Here is a 27002-nt window from a genome sequence, read left to right as displayed (position 1 = left end):
TCTACACTATAAAAGGTCTTAAGTGCCAAAGAAGTTGGTAGGCAAGGAGGAACTGCAGAAGATTTTTAAGAAATAAAGTGAAAATCTGTGCACAGGAAAGACTGATAAGGGAAATAAAGAGGCAAGAAACCACTTGGGATCCTAATCATGAGCTGAAAATGAATTAATGAGGGACTAAATTAGGGTTAAGGCAATGAAAATATAAAGTAAACAAAAGCAGAAAATATAAAGTAAACAAAAGCAGAAAATAAGATATTTCAAAGAAAAATCTGTAAGACTAAGCAACTAATTAGATATAAAAAAGAATGAGTCCAAGGTAATTCAGGGTCAGAAGAAGAATGAATGGTCAAACTGCTAACAGAATTTTGAATATGGGAAGAGCTTATTTAGGAGGAGAAGAAGGTAATGTGCCCAGTTTGTAATTTTCTTTTCAACAAGTCAGTAAGTAGGGACCTGGAATTTAGGGAAACGTAAAGGCTCAGGTTATGGATTTGAGGTTCATCTGCCTAGAGGCCTGAAGCCTTGGGAATACAGAGCTCAGTGAGGGAATGCATAGAACTCCTTCTCTTACAGGACAGGAAAATGAGATAGACAATGGTCTTAAAAGTAGGAAAAGAAAACAGTCACAAAAGGCAATTTCCAAGAAAAAAAGAGAATGCATGCTAAGAGTCAAGTTGCTGCAGTGAAGTTAAAGAGGGTGAGGACTAAAAAGGAGGTAAATTTCGCCATTAGTTCACTGAGGCCTTTACCAGATGCTATACTGGCACCGAGTTTGTAACTTTATGCCTACAAATACTATATTTGCAGACCATCCTGTCTAACATGGTGAAACCCCGTCTCTACTAAAAATACAAAAAATTAGCCGAGGGTGGTAGCGGGGGCCTGTAGTCCCAGCTACTCGGAAGGCTGAGGCAGAAGAATGGCGTGAACCCGGGAGGCGGAGCTTGCAGTGAGCTGAGATCGCGCCACTGCACTCAAGCCTGGGCTACAAAGTGAGACTCCATCTCAAAAAAAAAAAAAAAAAAAAAAAAAAAAAATTGCCTGTTTCTTCTGACTTTCTAAAGAACTTTTCTCATAGTTTCCCGTAGCACTTATAGCATAGTATAGCATAGTTCTAAGTGTTTTTAATTCTCCCTTAGATAGTACCCTCCTCCTCAAATACCAAGACAGGAAACCCAGTCATTATTTCTTGAATGAAGGGCCAAATAAATGGTTCATAATGGGATAAAGAAACAAAGAGAAAATGTTATACTATTTAATGTTTAACATTTAAACATTAAATGTTATTTTATGTTTACATTTTAAGAACAAAGCTGGATATTTACATTTTAAGAACCCCCAATATTTAATGAAAAGCAAATCTATCTTAAAATGATTGTGCATAGGCAGGGCAAAAGAGATTATTCTGCCTGTTTCAAGATAGCAGACTGGGAACCAGCTAGTTTTCTCTCCTACATCAATTCCTGGAAATGAAAGAAAATTAATTAACAGTCACACAAGAACAAAAGGAACTGATGGACTAGCAACTGGGAATATTTTGTGATTTACAACAGACTAGATCAAACTAAAGAGGAAAATCACAAGCTAAGATATACAGACACAAAAAACAGCAAGAGAGTTCTATGCCCAAAGTGTTTCATGCCCAATGGTGAAGTATTGGAACAGGAAAGGGCTGAGGGACAGTCAACAGTCTTATTAGTTGGAATACCACAAGGGATGCAGTCAAGTCAGATCAATCCATGTTCACATCCTGTGCCACACACCCTGCGCAGTAACAGAGAGTATACAACTCCTGAAGAGAGTATTAAATATTAGAGATTTAATCTTAAATCTTAGAGACAGGGCAGTGTCCAAGGTGGCTGGGGAAAAAAAGGAAGCATTCATTCCTAGTAGAGCAGTCTCCAGGATATCCAGCCCAGAAATACTTTCTACACACTCCTCTACTTTCACTGAAAATCCTGAGTCAAAACTCCCATGGCAAGTCTTAGTCCCCTTCCCAAGCAGACTGCCTAAACAGAAGCAGGAGAGAGTATAACAATGAATTTCAATGAGAAAGATGCATATACAATCAAAGGATGGGCAGACTCTTGAGGAATGTGAATCTCATTTAAGGCAGAAAACAACTTCAGCAAATGAGGTACACATCTAAAGAAAAAGGGTTAACAAATAAATGGAATAGGATTTTAAAATAAGCATGTTTGACTTATGCTTCTGGCCATGATGTTGTAACATGAATCGGATTTAACCTTCTTTTAAAACAACCAGAAAACTGGCAAAAATAAAATCAGGTGAGGCTTATGATCTCCTGGCTTTCTGCCTGAAGGCAAATTCTGGATTTCTGAGCAGGCACAGGCATCCCAAGCATGCCATGGCTGTTTTCCTGAGTAAAGGAGACAGAAATTAGAATTCCAGAAGTCTAAGGTTTCCAGAAGATGTGGAGCAAATTTCTGGAGAAGAGGGACTATGCAGAAAAAAAATAATAATAAAGGCTCAGAAATCTGCTATTAAGTCTTTGCTAGATACTAAGAAATATGTGCCTAGGATGAAGTTCTATAAGGTTTGGCAAAGAATGACAAGGTGTTGTGAGCTGAATGGTTCCCAGAGCTCATATAGGTCTGAGGACCATTTAAACTTCTTTCAGCCAAACTGGAGACTGTTTACTGATCATTCAAGGCATTCAGTAGAAACCTTAGAAGGACCACAACTAGCATAGGGCTACTGCAACCCCAACACTAACAAAACTTGAAAAGATCAAGCCAAACTATAAGTAACTTAACTGCTGCCCACTAAAGCTCAACACTGTTTCAGGAAGATAACAAAATCCAGAAACTTGGCAATGTAAAGCTCACAATGACTAGCATCCAAAACAAAACAAAACAAAAAAACAACAACAACAAAAAATTAAACATACCAAGAAGCAGGAAAATATTACCTATAAGCAGGAGAAGGACAACAGAAATAGACCTAGAATTTATAGATTATGGAATTATAAGATGATGTTAAAATAGTTATTACAACTATGTTCAAGTATTTAAAGAAAAACATAAGAAAAAAGGAACATCTAGAGATAAATATATATGTTTACTATCTTCCCAGAGATAAGAGACTATATCACATATATTTTACAGAATAGAACAGGAAACAGGAAAAAGAACAAACTAAAGAACTTGGAAACAAAAAAAATCTCACTGTTGAAATACCAGCTCAACTGACTTGAGAAACTTGAAGCCTCAGCAATGGAAAATGCCTTGAATCAATATAATTTACATAGTAGAATGCCCCAAAGACTCAGGAACTGATGGCACAAGAAACTGGAAGTTGGTGTAAAATGAAGCTAAAATAAGGATGATCAGGTGAAGATGGTTTAAAAAATAATTCAATCCCCAAATCTCCTCCCTTCATTTTATGGACTGGGTGAGTGCCCTGATTTCTACCCCAGTAGAAATCTAGAGGCTTATCCTCTCAAGGAGAGACTAAAATGAAGGGTCTCCAGACCTAAGAACCCTAGGTGCAGTTGAAAACAGAAAGCTTAAGTAAACATGCATACCGGATACTGACATGCGTTAGCATTCCTCATCCATAAGGCCAAAACTATGGCAACCAGGCTTTACCTTATGGGTAGAAGACAAAGAATCTTCTCTTGGTAATCCATCAACTCAAGTGTAAAGATACAAACATTGGAAATCCCCAATATAAGAACACAGTCAGATCACCCTAGCAGTGAAAAAATCCCTTCTACTGGCTCAGTTTCCAATTAGCTTCTTGGTTCCCTGCTCTTAAATAGGAATTGACAAACAAATATACGTAGTAATCACCTAAATAAACTCTAACACGTAATATATACACTAAAACAAACACACCAACAGGAAAAAACAAATCACAGAGAAGAAAGACTACACGAAGAAATGAAATACAAATGAAAGATAAAGAGTATACAAAGAAATGAAAATTTAACAAAATTATTGTTGTTCTGAGAGAGATTTAATAAAGATATTATAGGCTGGGTGCAGTGGCTCATGCCTGTAATCCCAGCACTTTGGGAGGCTGAGGTGAGTGGATTGCTTGAGACCAGGAGTTTGAGACCAGCCTGGTCAACATGGTGAAGCCCTGTCTTTACTGAAAGTACAAAAAAATCAGCCAGGCGTGGTGGTGGGCACCTGTAAACCCAGCTACTGGGGAGGCTGAGGCAGGAGAATCACTTGAACCTGGGAGGCAGAGGTTGCAATGAGCCAAGATTGTGCCACCGCACTCCAGCCTGGGTGACCGAGGGAGACTCCTTCTCAAAAAAAAAAAAAAAAAAAAAGATATTACAAAATGATCAGATAAGATAAGGGTGTTATTCCATGGCACACGTTTACCTATGTAACAAATCTGCACATCCTGCATATGTATCCAAGAATTTAAAGCCTTTAGGCAATAAATTTTAGACTAAAAAAATAAAAATAAAAAAAGTAAAATGCTTAAGAAGTTGAAAAAAGAGTGTTATTTTAAAAGAAATAACTAGGGAACAAAATAAACTCATAGATATTAAAATGTGGTAGCAAAACAAAGGTTAAAAGATAAAGTTTATGAAATCCCTCAGGAAGCAGAACAACAAGACAAAGACATGGTAAATAGGAGAACAAAAAAATAAAAAAGAAAAAAAAGAAAATTAGAAAGCCAGTTCAGAAAGCCTAATATCTGAATAAAAGGCATTTTGAAAGAGAATACAGAGAAAAGTAGGGAAATAAATCATCTACTAAATAATTCAAGGCAATTTCCCAGATAGCCTAGCACCACAAATTGAAATAGACCCACACCAAAGCACATCATTGGAAAATTACAGAACACTGAGGACAAAAAGAAGATCTTATAAGCTTACAGACAGAAAACAGTAACTCACAACAAAGGATCAGGAATTGAATCGCTTTAAGTTTTTCAAAAGCAACCCTGGAAATTCCAAGACAATGGAACAATATCCTCATTATTCTGAAAGAAAATTATTTCCAAGTTAAAATTCTATTCCCAGACAAACTACTCTGTATTATGGTAGAGAAACAGCATCTTAAGACGTGTAAGATCTCACAATATTTATGTATCCTTTCTTCAGGTTTTTGCTGAAGTATGTATAAGAGAGGCTTTCCCTGATCATCTTTGATAAAAGAACACATCTTTACCCTCCCCTGGCCTTCCTATCCATCTTACCTTCCTTATTTGTCTTTGAAACACTGACATCACATATTTTCTTTTAATCCCACAACTTAAAACACTCTCACTAAAGTATAAACTCAAAGAAGGCAGAGACTTTGTTAACTTATGATTTCTTAGCACCTAGTACCATGTGTGACACATAACAGGCCCTCAATAAATAATGTATTGCTCTGATAGAAATAAAAGAATACTTTTACAAAAGTGGGTAATGGAGCAGTAGCAATAATTAGACTATTCACATATGAGAGTAAAACAAAGGCATTTTCAGAAATACAAGAAAATAAATACAACAGAAATAAAAGGTCTTCAGCTATCTCACTTGGAGACCTCTTTCTGAAAGCAGAAAGACATTCACCAAAGCGAGAAGAAAAGATCCTCCCTATGTGGACTATGGTTTTTCCCATTTTATTTTAAGTAGGAAATCTACCTCTTTTATCACCGTAATTAGCAGATAAAATCTACCTCTGGTTATCCCCTTTCACAAACAAAGAATTAGCTTTTTCTGAATTAATTTAATCTTACTGAAATTCCTTAATACAATGATTCACTTAATAGAAATTCATCCTGAAAGAAACAGAAAACTAGGGAACAAATGAAACACAGACTGCCAAAATCCTCACATTAATAGAATTCAGTTGGGTATGGTTATGGCCAAGATCAGAATAGCTGATGCTTCTCTCTCTCCCTTCACTGTAGCCTAGCTACAACTGCAGCTGCCAGACATGGGAGCAGCTCACTGCTCACAGTACAGAATGTCAGCTTTGAACCATAACTAACGGCAGGCTGCCAATAATCAGCAGGAGATAGCTGAAATCTAAAATGGAGGTTACCAGGAAAAATGGACTGCATTTCAGAAACTTGTCTATTTTATTAAGGCTTCTTATGCTTGTATTTCCAAACATATGAAGTTTAAAAACAATTTATTTAATCATCTCTGACAGATCCATTCCATTCTTCAAATCCATGTTGAAAAACTTAACTTTATTTCCTTCGATTTACAGACAACTATTTAGGCGTAGAAAGTTGACTGTGAACTCCACTAGAGCAGTGGTCAAGTTACTCATTTCCCTCCCTCCCTCCCTCCGCCCTCTCTCCCTCCTTACTCATTTCCCTCCCTCCCTCCCTCCCTTCCTTCCTTCCTCCCCCCTCCCTCCCTCCTTCCTTCCTTTCTCCCTTTCTTCCCTCCCTTCCCTTCTCTTCTCTTTTCTCTTTCTCTTTCTTTCTTTTTTCCCCAGCACATAAATCACTTACTAAACTCATATACCCCTTTCATTTTTAGAACACACTGAGGTTCAGAAACATTATGTGGCTTAATCAAGGATGTTTATAGTAGAAGTCAATGGCGGAACTAGGACTACCACACACAGCTTACTCCTGACTTTTCTTTTAATGTCCGACCCAATTTAAACAAAGATGGGAGGGAGAACAATAACAATTTTCTGAATCATGAATCATGCTGGCTCTTTCATGTGGTTACTAGTCTCTCTACAAGTTAACTAGAAAGATTTATAAATAATCCAATTAGATCTGACCTCTTCAAAGATAACTATTATACATATCTAATAAAAATTCAAAAGGAAAGATCCTACATCTTACAGCCAAGGATAGTCTAATTTCATCTGCATGCATTCAACATTTGCATAACCCTTCTGAAGTACACACCAATTTAATATCTTTCTATGTTAACATCTACCATCCTCACACATGTGAAGCAAAGTTTGTCTGTAAATCTGCATAGCAGATCATGTTCAGTCAATAAAACCCATACAACATGTGCCCGGAATGTGATTGGAAAGGAAGACGGGGCAGATCATTATACCAATTCCACACTAACTTGATTTTATAATGAGGGCAATGGGAAGACACAGAAATATTTTAAGCAGAAAAATGACAAGAATCAGATCTGTATTACAGAAAGATCAATTTGATAGTAATATGGAGGATGGATTAGAAGAGGGACAAGTCTGGAGGCAAAAAGGACTTAGGTGTTGAAGTGATTCAAGTGAGAAATGATGGCAATCTGAATTAAAGCCATGATAGAAGATGTTGGAGAAGTAAGGACAGATTTAAGCAATACTGACCTGGGACGCTGGTTAATAATAAGTGGAAAAAAAAAAGAATTAAAACTTAGGTTCATACTGGCAAAATAAAGTGCGAAAAACCTTCAAAATTTATTTAAACTTGTAGTAGAAAACAAACGAACTACTTTCCTAGTACTACCTTCAGGCTGTGAAGATATTAACCAAAGACCACAAAAACTGTCCCTCAGGTTCTCTAAGTAACCAGTGTCCAAAGGTATTTTGGCTAAAACAAAGCCCTTTTTCAATTACCACAGCTGGCATCCTAGTATGTTACCACTGAAAGAGAAAGACAGGAAATGAATCAATAAACCCCAGGCATATGCTCAGCCTAGAAAGACACAGCATATCAAGGAGCAGAAATCTGTAAATAAAGACCCTGGGTAATTTAATTACCAGGCCAGAATCTGCTAACTGCCGGTTTAATTGTTTGAACAGCGCCCAAATTGTCTGACGAGGTGATCACCCTAAGATCTTTGTGCCATTTACTGCACATGACCACATGGATGAATATAAGAAATAGTTCTAAAGAATGTAGGAATAGTGAATAACTTTCATTAATCACACCTGTGATTCCAGAGGAAAAAATGTAGTTAAGGCCTTATTGTACTCATAAATAACCCAAGGACTCTTAAGCAAATTCATTTGCCATTCCATATTCCATGCTGCCAGACCAAGAAAATATTATCCTTCAGAGATGAGCACCAAATGCCATAAAAGTCCTGGAGAACAAGTTACCCAGGTTAAATGCATATGTTCTTATTTACCATTATATTCTGAAAAGGTTATGTGAAGGGAGGTGTGGGAGTTAGAAGAAAAAGTAATTGTATGGTGGTAACTACCAGTAAGCACTCAAAAACTGCTCAGTATACTGGAGGAAGCCAATTTTCTCCCTTGATTCAGTTAGTATTTCCTCGTTCATGTTTATCTCGTGAAGAGTAAACCAACAGAAAACTCCTTTCAAAAACTGAACAAAGAAGTACCTCAGACTACTTAACCTGGCAGTGTTCTCCTGTTGGCTTCACTCGGTAAATAAGGTCTACAAGGCCAAAACAGACTATTACACCATTCATTCAACAGGTATTTGTAAAACACTTTGTATTGTGCTAAAGTCCTCAACAGAAGCTTACAATCTATTAAGAGATAAAAGATACACATGCAGACTTTAAATAACAGTGAAAGGCAGTGTGTAGATAAATTCTAAAATGAGTTGTGCAGGAAAGAGAACTACAGTGTTCTCCTAATAAGAAATCAATGTGGATAGAATTAATTGAGAAAAACTTGACTGAAGAGCTGGAACTTCAGTTAGAACTTTTAAATAGGCAGTATTTCAATAGGCAGAGAGCAAAGGGCTTTAGGGCTCCAGATCAACATGAGCACAGAGTTTGAATCAGAGATTTACATGTTCTATTTTGAGAATATGGAGATTAGCTTAGCTATGGGTTTTGTGGGAGTTAATTAGATTTGGTCATTAGATCTGGTAAGCAGTTCATTGGCCAGTTTCCAAAAGTACAGAAGACAGGAGCCCAAACGCTTCCTACTTCCATTATAGATAAGGAGGGAATACAGGACCAAAGCCACATATTAAATTAAGAGGAACAGTTATATTCACTGTAGTTGACAAAACCATTAAATGCTTTCCCTGTTTCTATTCTTTACTGTTAATATATTAAATTAATGATATCCATCAAGATTCAATTCAATTAAATGACATGCTTAAGGAGATGAGGGGCGGGGCAGAAGAAACAGAAATGTGCAAAATCAGCAGACGGAAGCTTGTGAAGTTCAAAGAACTCTAAGGCGGCATATAATCAGTTAGTACATGAAGTCAGAATATGGCTTCAAGTCTTGGTTATGCCACCTACTTGCTTACTTGCTCTGTGACCCTGGGCAAATTGTGTAAGGTCTCTGTCCCTCAGTTTCTTCAACTGTAAAATCCATCTTATAAGGTTTCTGAGAGGATGAAATGACATAGTTTATGTACAGGACTGAACACAATGCCTGATATATGGTAAGAGTTCAAGAAATGATAATCTTTCTTGCTATTATTTTTAAGGGTAGGGTATATAGAGTGCAATGATCCTTGATGACCTTGTTAAGGATCCTGGACTTTACCCCAAAAGCAAGGGAAGTCCCTGAAAATTTTTAACAGGATCAAATTTTTATTTTAACAAGATGACTTACTTAGTACCTCTTATTAGAAATGCCAAAGGAAAATTTTATTCTAGAATTTACTACTAAGAAAAGTTTTGCTTTCTTCGAGGAAGAGGTACCGTTCCTTCTCTTAGATAAAATTCGGTAAATGCCTGCATCTTCTATTCACTTTGACAGCCACAAAGCTTGAAGCCAAATGTGAAGTTCTTAGGCCCTTATGTCCTGCATATTTCTGTTCCTTTTTCCTCCTGACAATTGTTTTCTACTTTTATATCTATTTTCTGATTCAACTCTTTCTTCTTATTTATATTCTAGAATTTTGGGGGTATTATTCTCCTTTGAAACTACTTCAACTCTTTGTGGAATGAGGTACAATATAATTAACTGAACAAAAATAAAGGATAACCATCAGAGCCTCATAATGCATGAATCACACACCGTAGATGCATTCCCAGCATGCCACCATAATTGCTCTTTTGGCGTAAGCCTAGTCAGATGGAGCAAGAAAACCAGATGGCACAGGAAGCCTCTCTATTCAAGAAGTAGAAGAGAAAAGTGCAAAGACCTAAGGCCTTCCTGGAATTAGCAGGGCACGGTTAAGGCAACTGTGCTAAGAGTAGAAGAGAAATTGAAAGTGGCAAGCTGCTGGGAGTTATGCACAGACTCAAGGCTAGAGTTTTAAATATTTTTAATATATAAATGTTGTTCCCTTAAAGTACTTGAACCTCTTCAGTCTCTCCACTCTTCTATTATTCCAGCTCATAAGGCCCTTTTGTTGCTTCACTTATCTCTCTCCTGAACTTGGATCTCACAATCAGCCTTTTCAACAATGACCTCTCTGACCACAGCAACTCTTACATGCATTTCATCTTCCACCATTCTAATCCTCAACCTGGGCCATTCATTCATATTGTCTACTTTTTCTCCTCTTGGATTGAAAAGCACTGCTGATGTGAGTCTACCATAAACTCCCTCACTGCTAATTATTGATCCTTCTATTCATCCCCTGACAATCATATGAGCACTGCTAGCTGTTCTAAACCTTTCTCTCACTACAGTGTCTAATGTACTGCCTTTCTCTGATGTCTCATCAGCTACACTACAGAATGAAATACCTCTATCTTGAATCAACAAACTCATCTTCCTTCTATTCTACCACAAAGAGCCTTTGTAGGCCAGATCCTTGGCACAATCTCTAATTATCATTGTAACTGCACCAATGCACACCTTTTCAGAGAAGGAGGAATTCCTCTCTTCTAAACTAATCATTCCCTCTGTGCCCTTAATCCCATTGTCTCTTGTCTACTCTGGGACCTTATTTCACCATCTCTTTCTTCCTGCCTACATTCTTTTCTTTTCTAGCTGTTTCAAACACCAAGACCACAACCAAAACCATTACATAATACTGAATCCTATGTAGACCCTATTACCCCTCAATTCTTTCCTTCCCTTCTTTCCACCTTGAGAACTTCAAAAGGTAGTTTTATAATATCTTTCTCCCTTTATCACCCATGCATCCTTAACCTCTTGAAATCTGGTTGTAGCTTCCAGTTTACTGAAAAGTACTTTCTTTGAAGTGACTGGTGATCTCTTAATGACCAAATACCCCCACTTCATTCCAAGCTCCTTTGGCTAATCAGGAAAGAAACTGTCCATATTTCCCAAGCCACTCTTCTACTCCATCAATTCCTTTCTTCCACCTGCTTCTAATAAAAGGCATAACCAACTCACTTCTTAGCCTTCTTAATTCTGAAATCTCATTATTACAGCTTCATTGATCACTTCTATTCAGGTAATCCTCAAATCTATACTTCTATTACTAAACTCTCCTTTTTTTTTTGAGAGAGACAAGGATTTACTGAAGTATGATTTATATACAATAAGATGCAAACTCTTAGATGGTTAACTATATGAGGTAATTGTATATTCTGTATAACCACCATTCAAAACAAAAATAAAACATTTCCATTTCCATCACCCAAGATAGTTCTCTCTTGTCCCTCTCCAGTCAGTTCTCCCCTCTCCCTGGAGGCAACTTTCCAGCTTTCATTACTATCCATTAGTGTTGACTGTTATAGAATTTCACGTAAATAGAACCATATATAATCTGTACTCTTTTGTGTCCAGCTTCTTTTACTTAGCACATGTCTGTAAGATGTATGCATGTTGTTGCATGCATAAATAGTTCATTTCCTTTTTGAATCATCTGCCTTTGTATTACTATACTACGATTTGTTCTGGATACATTTTCCCACTGATGGACATTTGGGTTGATCCGACTTTGCGTGACTGTGAAAAAAGGCTGCTATAAAAATTTGCATTCTTCTCAAAATCGTTTTATGGACACTTGTTTTCATTTTTCTTGGGCAAATACCTAGGAATTGAATTGTTGCGTGATGGGGTATATGCATGTTTAACTTCATAAGAAACTGCCAAACAGTTCTCCCAACTGGTTGTACCATTTTACATTCCTACCAGCAATGTATGAGAGTTCTAGTTGCTTCACAGCCTAAAATTTATTGTTGTCAGTTTTTTCAATTTTAATCAGTCTAACTGATGTGAAATGATATCTCCCTGTGGTTTTTAATTTGCATTTCTCTGATGACTAAAAACGTTGAGTAATTTTTCATGTGCTTTTTGGCCATTTGTATATCTTTTGTCTGGTTCCAGTCTTTTGTCCATTGTTAAATTGGGTTGTCTTTTTATGGTTGAATTTAATTATCTGTTGAATTTCATTTGCTCCCATATTTTCAACTATCAATTGTCCGTAGCAAACTAACTGTCCTGATATTATCTCCAAACCATACTTAAAATCTAATTTGTCATTTTTCACTCTGAAAACAGACTTAGGCACTACTGTCAACCACACCACAGTATTCTTCAATCATGTTTGCTTTAAATCCTAACTTGGTGTTTGCTTCTTGACACTCAACAGGAATTCTTGACAGGTGCTAAAGTATAATTACTAACAGTACAGGCTCTAGGATTGCCTGGTTCAAATCCAGAGTCTGTTGCTTATTTGCTGTGTGACTTTGAACAAATTACTGAATCTTTCAGTACCTACCTTGTAAGTTTTTTGTAAGGTTTTAAAAAATAAATCAAGTACTTTAGACAGTACCCAACAAAAAGATAGTGCTCAATAAATAACAGTAGTTGTTATTTTTAGAATTAGAAATGCCTCTTGCTTAAAACCTTTTCTCATGATTCTGACAACTAACATCTTAACCCAAACATTCAGCCTCTCACATCTAAACAATTAAAGTACTCCTAAATGGCTTCTTTTCTCCTCCTCTAATTCAGCTGACACACCACTGCTGGATTTATCTTCCTAAAAAACTCCCTTATAGGCATCATCACTTCCTGGCTCTCAGATGGCCATTCTAATAAAGATCCTAACCCCTTCTCCTACTCCTAATACTTAAGGTTTCCCACAACTGGTCTTTATACGACTCTCTAAAATATGCCTCTTACATATAGGGATAGGGGAAGAATCCAAGAGATTCAAAAGATTGTGTCTAAAATAGAAAAAAAAATCCAGAAATACCAGTACAAGCACATTATTTAGGGAAATGAAGGTAGGTTTAAATTAGTCAGCTAAAATAAATGAAAGTAGGCCAGTTGCAGTGGCTCACACCTGTAATCCAGTGCTTTGGGAGGCTGAGGCATGTGGATCACTTGAACCCAGGAGCTGGAGACCAGCCTGGGCATCATGGCAAGATCCCATCTCTACAAAAAAATTTAAAAATTAGCCTGGCATGGTGGCACACACTTGTAGTCCCAGCTACTTAGGAGGATTGCTTGAGCCCAGGAGGTCGAGGCTGCAGTGAACTGTGATTGCGCCACTGCACTCCAGAATGGGTGACAGAGTGAGATCCTGTCTCAAAAAAGAAAGAAAGAAAGAAAGAAAGAAAGAAAGAAAGATATGAAAGCGGTTGCCTCTAAAGAGGAGAAAATGGGGGAGGAGTGGCAGGAGCATGGGGACTGTATCATCCGTAACAAACTTTGCACAATTATTTGACTCCTTAAACTAATACTAGTAAATGTTTAACTTTTGCAAAAATAAAAACTTGGAAGATAGATAAGCCCAAGAGACACAAACAGAAAGAAAGGAAGGTTGGTTTATAATGAAGCAGACACTATACTCGGCAATTTGGTTGTCCATACCTACGGATAATATTAAATAAATAGACCTATGCGAGGAATAGTTGGACACATCCATTCACTTAGGGCAGCTACCCTATTTGCAAACTGAGGAGTTTGGATTTTATCCAATGAGCAATAGGAAGGTGAGTGAAAGTTACTGAACACAGTTGTAATATAATAAAAATAATACTTTAGGAAGATTAAACAGGAATTATATAAAATGTACTTGACTAGAGAAGAAAGAGAGAATGGTAAAACATGAAGGATTCGCTAATTAAGACATGAAGTGTTGAAAGCTTAGGGCAGGGTGATGACTGGGGAAACAGAAGGATTTAATTTCAAGTCATTTTGCAAGAACAGAGTATGATCTGCTGGCCAACTAAATACAAAACTAACAATGAAAAAAACATTGGGAACATAACACCCTCCCAGCACAGAGTAAGCAATAAAGGAATACTTGTAAAGTTAAATAAAGACTGACTCTGAAGTTATAAACCTGAAATCTTAATATACAGTTCAAAGTACAAAGTTAACTACTGTTTATCTATGGTTTTTTTTCCATCTAAGTCTCCAATTGGTTTAAAACATTTTGGGCTTAATTCACTTAAAATCTTATACAGTAGTCCCCGCTTATCTGCAGGGGCTGTGTTCTAAGACCTCCAGTGGATGCCTGAAACTGCAGACAGTACCAAACCTTATATGTACTATGTTTTCTCCTGGATAAACATACCTATGATAAAGCTAATTTGTAAATTAGGCACAGTAAGAGGTTAACAACAACAATACTAAAATAGAACAATTATAACAATATACTGTAATAAAAGGTATATGAATGTGGTCTCTCACAAAATATCTTAATATTTTCAGGCCATAGTTGACCTCAGGTAAGTGAAACCGCTGAAAGTCCCCTCTGATAGGGGGGACTAATGTACATATTTTTCACTACTTGATTAATGTTATTTGGATGGAATCTTCTCATTTCTATTTTAATATCTTCATGGGCTCCATGTCAGAAACGGGCTGGCTACCAGACCATTCCGTGCTTGTGCCTACCTGAATCTACAGTTTACTATGCTTTTTCTTCCCTATATATTTCATATATAGGCAACAATTTTTTGCCCATTTACATCTTAGTTTCTCCTAGGCTCCCTGTGCCTCCCGCCTTCTTAGTTGGATTCCTTATCCTTACCCTTCTTGGGCACCAATCTCTTTTTCTTCTACCTTCAACTCTTGGCATAATGCCCAACTCTTTTAACTGACCACATGGAAAAATTAAAACAGGGTTGCTGTGTAACATTAAAACAGCTCTGAAGCATGGAGCAGTATAAGGAATCTTCCTTATAAAGAGTAATTAAGAGCAAGGCATGTTTAAGGGCCCATGGTAATAAAGTACATGATAACAGAGTACAGTACACTGAGCATTAATCCTACTGAAAACTGTTTGCAGGCCATTACCTTGTTTTCAAAATTACTTTTTTTTTTTTGTAGTTAATGGTCATTACTAGAAAACTCAGAAAATAAATAAAAGCAACATGATTACGTTTGTGATTCAGAAAGACAATTCTGAAGAAAATGAAAAATAGATCAGTTAGGAGATAATGACACAACATACAGAGAAGGAAGAGTGAGGACCCTAACCTGAGGCATTAACAGTGGTTATAGAGATGGGGACCTCCTAGAGAAATACTTAGGAAGTAGAATAGGCAGGATTCAAAACCTCATTCAGGTAGGAAGGAAAAGGAATCAATACTGACATCAAGGTTTCCAGTTTAAGCCAAGTAAGGGAAAAGAGAGAAATAGTTTTGTAAAAAAAAAAAAAAGATCATGAGTTCTGCTGGGCTTCAAGCTGTATGACAAAGTCAAGGCAAATAAAAACAAATTGAACTAAATGATCTCCACATCTCCTTTAAATTCAGCTTCTTCCCTTCCAAACTAGTGAAGACTATCCAAAGATTTCATGATCTTTTTAAATTAATTCTATTACTCATTATCTTCAATGGTCAAGAAATTAACTGTACCCAAGAGTGGAAAATAAGATAATAGCATTCACTGTCCAACTTTTCTGTGGACATCAGATTCTTCTTTCCAGAACTCCAATTGACCATTTACCCTAGAGATTTTACTTTAAATATAAACCTTATACATTTAAAAATCCCCAAATTATGTCTCAATGTGTATAAAACAATGTAATCCAAATTTGTTTCAAAGATCTTAGCAAGAAAGAACAATTTAGACTATCCTATTTTCATAGAAATGATGCCTAACATGTAACAGCTATTTCTACTTTACTTGTAAAACTACAGTCCAAAGCTTTAAAAATGTTCCAATGGGCAAAGGCTTAAAAATCCTTCTCTTGACTCATTGCCTCTACCTACTACCTCATTTCTTTTTTCCCTTTTTGCAGCAGAACTCCTTGAAAGGGTTGTCTATTTTGCTCTCTCCATTTTTCTTCTCTCATTTGCTCTGTAAGCCCCTTCAATCTAGCTTTTGGCCCAGTCACTCCACCAAAACTGCTCTTACCAAACTGCAGTATACAATGGTCAACTGTCATTCCTCATCATTTTTGATCTATCGGCATCATTTGTCACAGATGTTCACTTGATCCTTCTGAGAATACTTTGGTCACTTGGTTTCTAGGATACCACATTCTCTTGGTTTTCTTCCTCCTCTGTCTCTTCTGCTAGTTTCTCCTCTTTTCTAAATCTTTTAATGTTTAAATGCCTCAGGGATCAGATCTTGGCCTCTTCCATAATTATACCTATTACTTAGGTAGTCTCCACCTGTCGAGAAGTCCTACTGATTGTACTTCAAAATATATTCTGAGTTTGACCACTTAGGACTACCTGTACTGCTACTCCCCGGTCTGGGCTGTCAACACCCCTCACTGGAACTACTCCAACAGCTTCCTACCTGGTTTCCCTGTCTCCACCCTTTCCCATTCTCAACACAGCAGCCAGAGTGATGCTTTTAAAATGATACATTAGATGCAGTCACTTCTGTGCTGAAATCCAGCCGAAAATGGTTCCCTAATTTTATTCATGTAAGAGTCAAAATCCTTCTAATGGCCTACACAATGCCCCCAAATCTGCCCTACTCCTGCCTCTCATTTACCCTCTGACCTCCTCTTCTACTGTTCTTCCTCCTTGCTCTTCTCTCTTGCTTGCTCCTCTTGAGCCATACTGGCCTCCCTGTTACCCCTTGGACACACCAAGCACACTGCTGCCTCAGGGATTTGCATTTATTCTTCCCTCTCCCTGGGTAATCTCTGTTCTACCATATCGACATGACTGTGCTTTAAAGTCTGTGCTCAAATGCCAGCGAGGCCTTCTCTGACCACTCTATTTAATGTTGCAATCAACTCCCATGCCTCCCAACCAACCAGCCTCTGACCACTCTATTTAATTTTGCAATCAACTCCCATGCCTCCCAACCAACCAGCCTTGCTTTATTATTTACATAGCACTCATCACTATCTAATCTACTACATAATTCAGCTATTTTGTTTCTCTCTCCCAAACTAGAATGTAAAAGAGTAGAGATTTTTGTCTATTTTCTTCATTGCAGTTTTCTTACCACATAACAGTGTGTGACAAGTAATTGGTTTTCAATAAGGATTTCTTGAAAGACTGAATAAATGAATGAATAAGTGAATGTAAGAAATAGGAAAGAAAGGCAAGAAAAATAAAATGAATAAAGAGGAAAAAGGGAAGAAAAGGAAAGAAACCTGCCCAAAGTAATGTTAACAATTAATATGGTATAGCCGGCATTGTAAATCAGATTTGCTTAGCTTCAAAGCCCATAACAGCCTATTATAGCATCAGTCAAGATGCTGCTAGCTAAAACAAATATTTTAAGAATTAAAATAAGCTTATTAAGTAGTAGCATATAAAAGAAAAAATTAAGCAAAAGAGGGAAACAGACAACTTTTCTGAAATACAATGAGTTTAGTCAGAACTATTTATTTAGAATCCTACTGCAAATAGTGTATTTTTCAAAACTATAGAAGTGCATATGGTTCTTTCTCTTTAAAATACCTTAAATTAATAACACATTTGAAAGGACTAAATAATTCTGCTTTTGGCTAAGATAGATTTGTCCTCCAGCCTGAAACAACCTTCCCATCTTCAACAACAAAAATACAAAATACATGAGAGAATGGTTTATAAGACACTGGACATCAGGCAAAGGAAAGTGAACCCTGAGCAACAGGTGACAAATGAGGCGAGACCATGAATGTTCCAACTAATGCCTTGAGAGAATCTCTACGCCACAGCACAGGGAGGGGAAACCCAGGTGTGGCCCAGCAATGTCTTTGAGTTGAGTAGACAATGCTGAGAGTCCCAGATAAGAGTGAGCTACACACAGAAAGAAGTCCAAAGGTCTGCAGAGGGATCCGTCCCTTGAGCACTCAGGAGAGTGCTGATTGGCTCACGTGTGAGGGAAAACCACCAGAGGCCAGAGAAAAAACCATCTGAGAGGCTGAGAGAGAACACTGCCTGGTGCTTACACAAAGCCAGGAATGGTGCCTGTTCCTACTTGTCAGGCCAAAAAACCTCAGCATTCATGGGGCATTGAGTAGAGTACTCAGAAGTGGGAAGTAACTAGACCCAGACTGAGCACTGTTTCAATTATGAAGGCAAGACCCAAATGGATCAAACTGTTTCCAAGTAGGCTTAACTGCATCCCAGAACAAAGTTCAAGAAAACCTAAAGTAACACAAAAATATGTGGTGCTCAAGGTAAAATTGGCAATGTCTAGCATCCAATCAAAGACTACCAGACATGTAATGAAATAGGAAAATGTAACCAAAACTGAGGAGAAACATCAACCAATCAAAACCAACCTAGAACTGACAGAGATGCTGGAAATCAGCAGACATGGACATTAAAAATTATCATAACTGGATTCTAGATGTTCAGAAAGATCAGTAAAGACATGGAAGGCATTAAAAAACAGTCCTAGTCAAGTTTATAGAAAAGAATACTACAATGTCTGAGATGACAAATACACTGGATGGGATTAATGGCAGAAGAAAAGATTCGTGAATTTAAAGACAGAAATAGCAACTACTCAACATGAAATAGAAAAAAAGGAATTTTTTAAAAATGGAAAAGAGCATCAGTGAGCTGTGGGGCAATTTCAAACAGTTTAATATACATTTGACTGGAATATCTGAAGGAGAAGAGAGGGGGTGGAAGAGAAAAATTAGTTAGAAAATAATGGCTGAAAAATATCCAAATTTGATGAAAAGAGTATAGTCACAGATCCAAAAAGCTCAATGAACACCAAACATAAGAATCATGAAGAAAACCACACAAAGGCTCATCATAATGAAATTGTTGAAACCAGTGGTAAATAGAAAGCCTTAAAAGCAGCCAGAGAAAAAAGGCACATTATATACACAGGAATAAAGAAAAAGATAACAGTGGTTTTTTTGTCAGAAACAGTGCAAATGGGAAGACAGTGAAGCAACATATTTAAAGTACTGAAAGAAAAAAAGTCCATTTAGAATTCTATACCTAGTACAAATATCTTTCAAAAACAAAGACAAAAATAAAGACTACTTTAGACATATAAAAGCTGAAATATTTCATCACCAGCAGATCTGTGCTACAAGAAACACTAAAGAAAATCCTTCAGACGCCGGGTGCGGTGGCTCACGCCTGTAATCCCAGCACTTTGGGAGGCTGAGGCGGGCGGATCACGATGTCAGGTGATCGAGACCATCCTGGCTAACACGGTGAAACCCCGTCTCTACTAAAATACAAAAAATTAGCCGGGTGTGGTGGTGGGTGCCTGTAGGACCAGTTATTTGGGAGGCTGAGGCAGGAGAATGGCGTGAACCTGGGAGGCGGAGCTTGCAGTGAGCTGAGATCGTGCCACTGCACTCCAGCCTGGGCGACAGAGCAAGACTCTGCCTCAAAAAAAAAAAAAAAAAAAAAAAAAAGAAAAGAAAATCCTTCAGACAAAAGAAAAATGACATTAGATAAAAATATATACATACATATGAATGCAGAAATGGTAGCTGCATTGATAAATAGATGCAATTTTCAAAAAATATGGAAATCTCTTGAAAAGATAATTGTTTAAAGAAAAAGGTAGCTACACTGATAGATAATTTTCAAAAAATGTGGAAATCTCTTTAAAAGATAATTGTTTAAAGAAAAATAGCACTGTATTATGTTTTATAAAATACGTTTAAGTAAAATATGACAACAAGAACATAAAGGCCAGGAGGGGCAAAAGAGAAGTACACTGATGTAAGGTTTTTTTTTTTTAATTGAGATGAAATCTCACTCTGTTGCCCAGGCTAAAGTACAGTGGTGCGGTCGTGGCTCACTGCAGCCTCCGCCTCCGAGTTCAAGTGACTCTCCTGCCTCAGCCTGCCTAGTAGCTGGGATTACAGGCATGCACTACCACACCTAGCTAATTTTTGTATTTTTAGTAGGGAGGGGTTTCACCATGTTGGCCAGGCTGGTCTTGAACTCCTGACCTCAGGTGATCCACCCACCTTGACCTCCTAAAAGTGCTGGGATTACAGGTGTGAGCCACTGTGCCCAGCCAAGGTTCTTATATTATATGCGAAGTGGTAAGTATTACCTGAAGGTAGACTGTGTAGACTTGTATACGAATGTACATAGTAACTTATGTATAATAGCCAAAAACTGAAACCAACCCAAATGTCTATCAATAGATAGATGAATGAATAAGCAAACTGGGGTATATTCATATAATATAATACTACTTGCAATAAAAAGAAATTATATGTTGATATATACAATAAAATGGGATGAATCCCAAAATAATTATAGTAAAGGAAAGAAGCTAGACCAAAAAAAGAATATATCCTGTATGATTACATTTGAGTATATCCTGTATAATTCCATTTATATAAAACTCCAAAAGATACAAACTGATCCATAATGACAAAAAACAGGTCAGTGGTTTTTTGGGTGTCAGATGGGGCAAAAGAGTTACAAAGAGGGCACAAAGAAACTTCTGGAAGTGATGGATATTTTGACTGTGGTGACTGTTTCACAAACGTGTATCAAAACATTAAATTGTACGCATTAAATACGTGTAATTTACTACATATGAATTATTCTTCAATAAAGCTGCTTAAAAAACAATTTTGGACTTTAAGAACAAAAAAGATTTAGATACCTACAGTGCTCTGGTTCCACACAGTAAAAATAAACAGATATTTTAGGTGAAAGCTAGAATAAAATATTTAAATTTTTTTTAAAGTTCGAATGAATCATAAACACCAATCAAATACTTTCTTACTAGAGATAAAGGAATCAAGTCCCAGAGAGGTTTAGTGATTTGCCTGAGGTCTTACCCCTATAGTGAATACTTTACTAAACTGTAAGATCCACAATAACAGAGATTGTGCTATTTAGGTCACTAGAGTATCCCCATTACCTAGTACAATGCCTGGGACATAGTAGAAGCTTAATAAATATTTGCTGACTAATCTTTCCATAGAAAAGAAAGGTAAAAAGGAAGATAAAAAGAAAGAAAATATCCTTTGCAATATGACTAAAAGTTCCTCCATATGTTTGATTCTCCAGTCTCTAATAGAGATGACAGAAGTAGTACCTTTAATATAATAAATACAAGGAAATAAGTTATATTTCATATTTTAGGTTACTGAATATTTTCTAACACTTAATTTTTTTTCACTTATATTACCAACACTTAAATAAGCAGAAAATTAACAGAAAATACCCCATTCATGCAGATTAGTGAATTTTTCAAATTAATAGAAAATTTAAAGGAAAAAGCTTACCAAAAATTTCTCCATTTTTGGCATATTCTGTCACAAGGTACAACATACTTTTGGTCTCCATTACCTATTGATAAATAATTCCATATTAGTCTGACAGAAATGTACTGGAATTTTCCACAATATTCTATCGAGTTACCTAAATTGAAACTACTAATAAAAGAATCACAGTTATGAACAATTCCGAAGATGGCTAAGTTCATAAGCCTGACAATATCCTTCTGATTAATGTGTTTGTGAAAAATTGAGATCCTTGCTCTTCTAAGTGTGGTCCTTGGACCAGCAGTAGTAGCACTATTCAACCACCTGTAAGAAATGCAGAATTCCAGGCCCCATCCCAGACATACTGAATTGGAATTTACATTTTAACAAAACTGCCAAGTGATTTTTATGTACATTAAAGTTTGAGAAGTACTAGTATAGATAATATAAGTTTTGAAGATCTACTTTTCAACATCTCCTCACTGACGTTTCTAGTCCTATGTTATCATGGTAGATTCCGATTAAAAGAATAAAAAAATAGAGTACTTTAGTTTACCTGGTTGGTAGCCTAGCTAATCTGGCACAATGTGATATTCCTTGTACTATACTTTAATATTGTTACAAAGTACTCTAATTGTTTAAAAGTTTCATATTCATAGCTCTACTGTAAAATACTTTTATTTAAATGCATTTTTCTAGATTCGGAATGAAGTGTGTCATCGTCATACATCTGATTTTTCAAACTACACTAAATAGAAGTCTATTTAAAAAGAAAATGAGGCTGGGTGTGGTGGCTCACACCTGTAATCCCAGCTCTTTGGGAGGTCAAGGTGGGCAGATCACTTGAGGTCAGGAGTTCGACACCAGCCTGGCCAACATGGCAAAACCCCGTCTCTACCAAAAAATACAAAAATTAGCCAGGTGTGGTGGTGTGCACCTGTGATCCCAGCTACTTGGGAGGCTGAGGTGGGAGAGCTGCTTGTATCTGGGCGACAGATGAAAACTATGTCTCAAAAAAAATAAATATATAAAAATAAATACAAATAGAATAAAAAGAAAATGAGTGTTTAGATTCAAGATGAACAATTTTTAGAGTGTTTATCTGTAATACTCTTAACTGCTATCTACTGAAAGGAAGAAAATTAATTTTGTTCTAAGATGTAGGTTTAAGACTATTCTCCACGAGGTCAGAAAACTAAAAGCTACCTACAGTTTGGGCCTAAACAAATCAGTAAATCAACTGTAACCAATTATTTACCTCAAATAGATAGAATTAATATGCAAATTATGTTAGTTTTATCCTCGGTCTAGTTTATGGTTAATCAGAGACTTTGAAGAATATAATTAGTTTCTTAGAAGTATCTTCTTCAGGAATTAAAAAAACAATGGCTAGGCATGGGTGGCTCATTCCTGTAATCCCAGCACTTTGAGAGGCCAACGTGGGAGGCTCACTTGAGCCCAGAAGTTTGAGAACAGCCTGGGCAACATAGTGAGATCCTGTCTCTGCAAAAAATATTAAAAAATGAGCCAGGTATAGTGGCATGTGCTTGTAGTCCCAGCTACTTGGGGAGGGGTTGAGGCAGGAAGATCACTTGAGTCCATGAGTTTGAAGCTGCAGTGAGCTATGATTGTGCCACTGCACCCCACGCTGGGTGACAGAGCAAGACGTTTTCTTTTAAAAAAAAATTAATAATTTTTTTTAAGTTTAAAGGGAGAAGTAATCTGAATTAATTAATTAATTATTTATTTTTAGAGATGGGATCTCTGTGTTATCCAGGCTAAAGTACAGTGGCTATTCACAGGTGCAATTAAGGTGTACTACAGCCTGGAACTCCTTGGCTCAAGAGACCCTCCTGCTTCAGCCTCCCCAGTAGCTGGGACTACATGTCACTGCACTGGGCTAATCTGATATAAATTTGATCTAAGAGGCCTCTGTAGTTTTAGTATTTTTAGGAAATGCTTTGAGTGACACATCATAGTCTCTCATTCTCAGGAGGCATATCATAAGCCAATGGTCTTCACATTTTTTACATTGAAAATCTCTATCAATAAAAGTTGTTTAAAGCAGGGGTTCCTAACCGCCGGGTCACAGACTGGTGCAGTCCGTGGCCTGTTAGGAAACGGGCCACACAGTGAAGCTTCATCTGTATTTACAGCGGCTCCCCATTGCTCCCATTACCACCTGAGCTCCACCTCCCATCAGATCAGCAGTGGCATTAAATTCTCATAGGAGTAGGAACCCTATTGTGAACTGTACATGTGAGGGATCTAGGATTCACACTCCTTATGAGAATCTAATGCTGAGGTAGAATAATTGCCTTCCACGAAACTGGTCCCTGGTGCCAAAAAAGTTGGGCACCACTGGTTTAGAGCCAAACACACTGTCATGCACTTGTAGTCCTAGCTGAAGCGGGAGGATCCTTTGAGCCCAGGAGTTCAAGGCCAGTCTGGGCAACAACAGTGAGACCCTCTCTCTAAAAAAAATAAAATACAATAAACATGATTCCTATGGGAATCCATTAAAAATAAAGTTGCCAAATATATGTGTGTGTGTGTGTGTGTATATATATATACACACACACACATACACAAACACACATGGCACATATGGTGACGTATATATAAACACACATTGCATACATGTGCCATTGTATAAATATTATGTACATTATAAAATATACACAACAAAACAAATATAAAAAATAAACATAACTAGAGGTTCTGATATTTTCTTCTTATACTCCCAAGCACATTTGTGCTAATCTATTTGAATGCACATACTGGTGTGCCAGTAAACCAGCTTTCTGACAAAAAATAAAAAGGTCCTGATTTGTAAGCCAGTTTCTGTGATGTAAATCTTCCTACCAATGCAGATTTTGAGCTACTAACATCATGTTAATTGGCTTGCAAAGCTTCTGAAAGTTTAACAACCAGCTCTCAACGAGCCGGTACAGGCGGAGTCCAGCATACCATGGGCATACACATCACACTCTGGAGATCAAAGTCATGGGCCAGGATAATGGAACATTTCAGTTTAAAAAGAGCTTTTCAACAGAAAAATTCTACATGTTAAGAAATAATTGTTTTCAATATTTTGTACTATATTATCCTTCTTAAACATGAATTACTCGTTAAAAATTTGAGAAAAACACTCCTTTTAAAAACCATGGCTGGTTGGTGGGTGCACTAAAAGCCCAGACTTCACCACTATGCAATATAGCCAGGTAACAAAATTGCACCTGTACCCCCTAAAGCTATAAAAAACAATGAAAAACAATGACAAAAAACCCCATGGCTTACACTTAAAATGAGTTCAATTTATTTTACAAAAATTATTATAACAAAGTTGATTTTTTAAAAAAAGCAAATTTATTTTATCTACTAAAATAAGCCAAATAATTAAATAAATACAGTCCTATGTATGACAAAGTATGTCACTGAATAATATACTAGTTTAGTGGTTGTATTTTCATAAAACATACAGTATCCTTTTTAAATGAGCAAAACTGCCACATCCTTATTAGGCAGTAGCACCAAAACTCTGCAGTTAAAAAGCAGCGTATCATACATTGTAAACTTCTTTTTTTTTTTAAGAGACAGTGTCTCACTTTGTCACCCAGGCTAAAGTGTAGTGGTATGATATAGCTCACTGCAACCTCAAGCAATCCTCCTGCCTCAACCTCCCAAGTAGCTGGGACTACAGATGTGCACCACCACACCAGGCTAATATTTGTATATATATATTTTTTGGTAGAGATGGGGTTTCACCATGTTGCCCAGGCTGGACTCAAGTAATCTTCCCTGCTCAGCCTCCCAAACTGTTGGGATTACAAGTGTGAGCCCACACTGCAAACTTTTAAAACAACTTGCAGTCTGAGAGATGACTTAAGATTTCTGATTTTTAAGTTTAAAGACAATATAGAAAAATGGTGTACTTAGTAACAAATAGCATACATTTATTTTCTTTCATTGATTAGAAAAACAAATATAAGAAGAAAAATCATGATACGAAATAGAGAACTATCTTGTGGAATGAATGGAGATAGTGTTAGGCTGAGTCATACCTGATAAAGTTTGATTATGTGAGGGTGGTCTAACATTTTCATTATTTGTACTTCTCGGTAGATTTTCTCAAGGTTCACTGCATCCAGCTGAGACTTATCGATTATTTTTATTGCCACCTGCATCCCAGAACACAAATAAATACAATTAGTATACAATAGTTAACATTTTCTAGTTAAGAATCCTGTCAATAAATGACATGAGACTTCACCTGTAGGTTCCTGACACTGATGATAGCAGTTTAAATTCAATGTTCATTCATTCAACAAATATTTCTTAAACTAATACCATGTGTAAGGCAGTAGATGTTGTTTGGCAGTGTCTTTAGTGTGCTATGAAGAATAATTTGAAAACATGTTTCTCTTTCAGTACAATGGTAATGTCTTTTTTCTCCTGTACAAACTGAAAAAATAAAATCTTTATTTGATTAAATTAGTAGCTATATCAACTAGTTATCCTGCTGTGAAGTACCTATAAACAAATGATCAGCAAAGTAGAAGACAGTTCGGAAGATAGCTTCTGTTGCACTGAAATACTATTTTCCTAGAAAAGCAAGTGATAAGTTTCAAAGAATACAGACAAAAAGCTGAATATAAAATATTAAAACTCATTACATGAGAAAATACAATTGGACTTTCTTTTAAAAATTGAAGTGCAAAAACTAAAATGTTAGTAACTGCACTAAAATTTAACTTTGTAAAAGGAATTTTATTTCAGAAACTGTGACTTCATTCTGTTATAACTAGAGAGGAGCCCAAACAATTCCAAGGTTAATAATTTGAAGGGATTACATATGAAGGTGAATGACTAGGTAGGCAGAAATCAATGATTACACACATTTTTTTCATGCAATTAAAAAGAACTAATTTATTAAAATTAGTAGATATTTGGTTGGAAAATAAAGCATTCTGATTTAAATAAATTTTTCAGATAATTGGGAATCACCCCAATTTAATTATCAGTTTTGAAAAAACTCTAAAATGTACTTCAAGTTATATCAAAGGGTATTCTAAACATAATTTAGCCTTATGTTATTGTTTCAGGGTAACTTTTCTTCTTTTTTTTTTTTTTTTAATGCAGATGGGGTCTCATTATGTTGACCAGGCTGGCCTTGAATTCCTGGCCTCAAGCAATCCTCCCTTTTCAGCCTCCCAAAGTGCTGGGATTACAGGTGTGAGCCACCATGCCTGGCCTCAGGAAAACTTTTATTTATTTATTTATTTGATACAGAGTCTCCCTCTGTGGCCTAGGCTACAGTGCAGTGGCACGATCTTGGCTCACTGCAACCTCCGCCTCCTGGGTTCAAGTGATTCTCCTGCCTCAGCTTCCCAAGTAGCTGGGATTACAGGTGTGTGCCACCACGTCTGGCTAATTTTTGTATTTTTGGTAGAGATGGGGTTTCACCACGTTGGCCAGGCTGGTCTTGAACTCCTCACTTCAGGTGATCCGCCCACCTCGACCTCCCAAAGTGCTGGGATTTCAGGCGTGAGCCACTGTGCCCAGCCGAGGATAACTTTTAATATCAGCAATTGCACATGCTATGACAGCTCAATGCTTCCAAAAGCTATCCAATAAAATAGGACTCAGCTTGCCATTTCACATAA

At 36.8% G+C, this 27002-nt stretch overlaps 1 protein-coding gene across 2 annotated transcripts in view; it reads right to left on the bottom strand.

The window, feature by feature from the left end:
* Nucleotides 1-27002, bottom strand: part of SIK2 (salt inducible kinase 2) — a 128407-nt gene that overhangs the window by 89096 nt on the left and 12309 nt on the right. For both annotated transcript variants that reach the window (NM_015191.3, XM_017017417.2), the window contains exons 2-3: nucleotides 25401-25517; nucleotides 21358-21421 (exon numbers count right to left, since the gene is read on the bottom strand). In NM_015191.3, coding sequence (NP_056006.1) covers nucleotides 21358-21421; nucleotides 25401-25517 — 181 coding nt within the window. The remainder of the gene's footprint in view (nucleotides 1-21357; nucleotides 21422-25400; nucleotides 25518-27002) is intronic.

This window comes from Homo sapiens, chromosome 11 (assembly GCF_000001405.40).
Source record: "Homo sapiens chromosome 11, GRCh38.p14 Primary Assembly".
NCBI lineage: Eukaryota > Metazoa > Chordata > Mammalia > Primates > Hominidae > Homo > Homo sapiens.
This window is presented reverse-complemented; position numbering and strand designations above follow the sequence as displayed.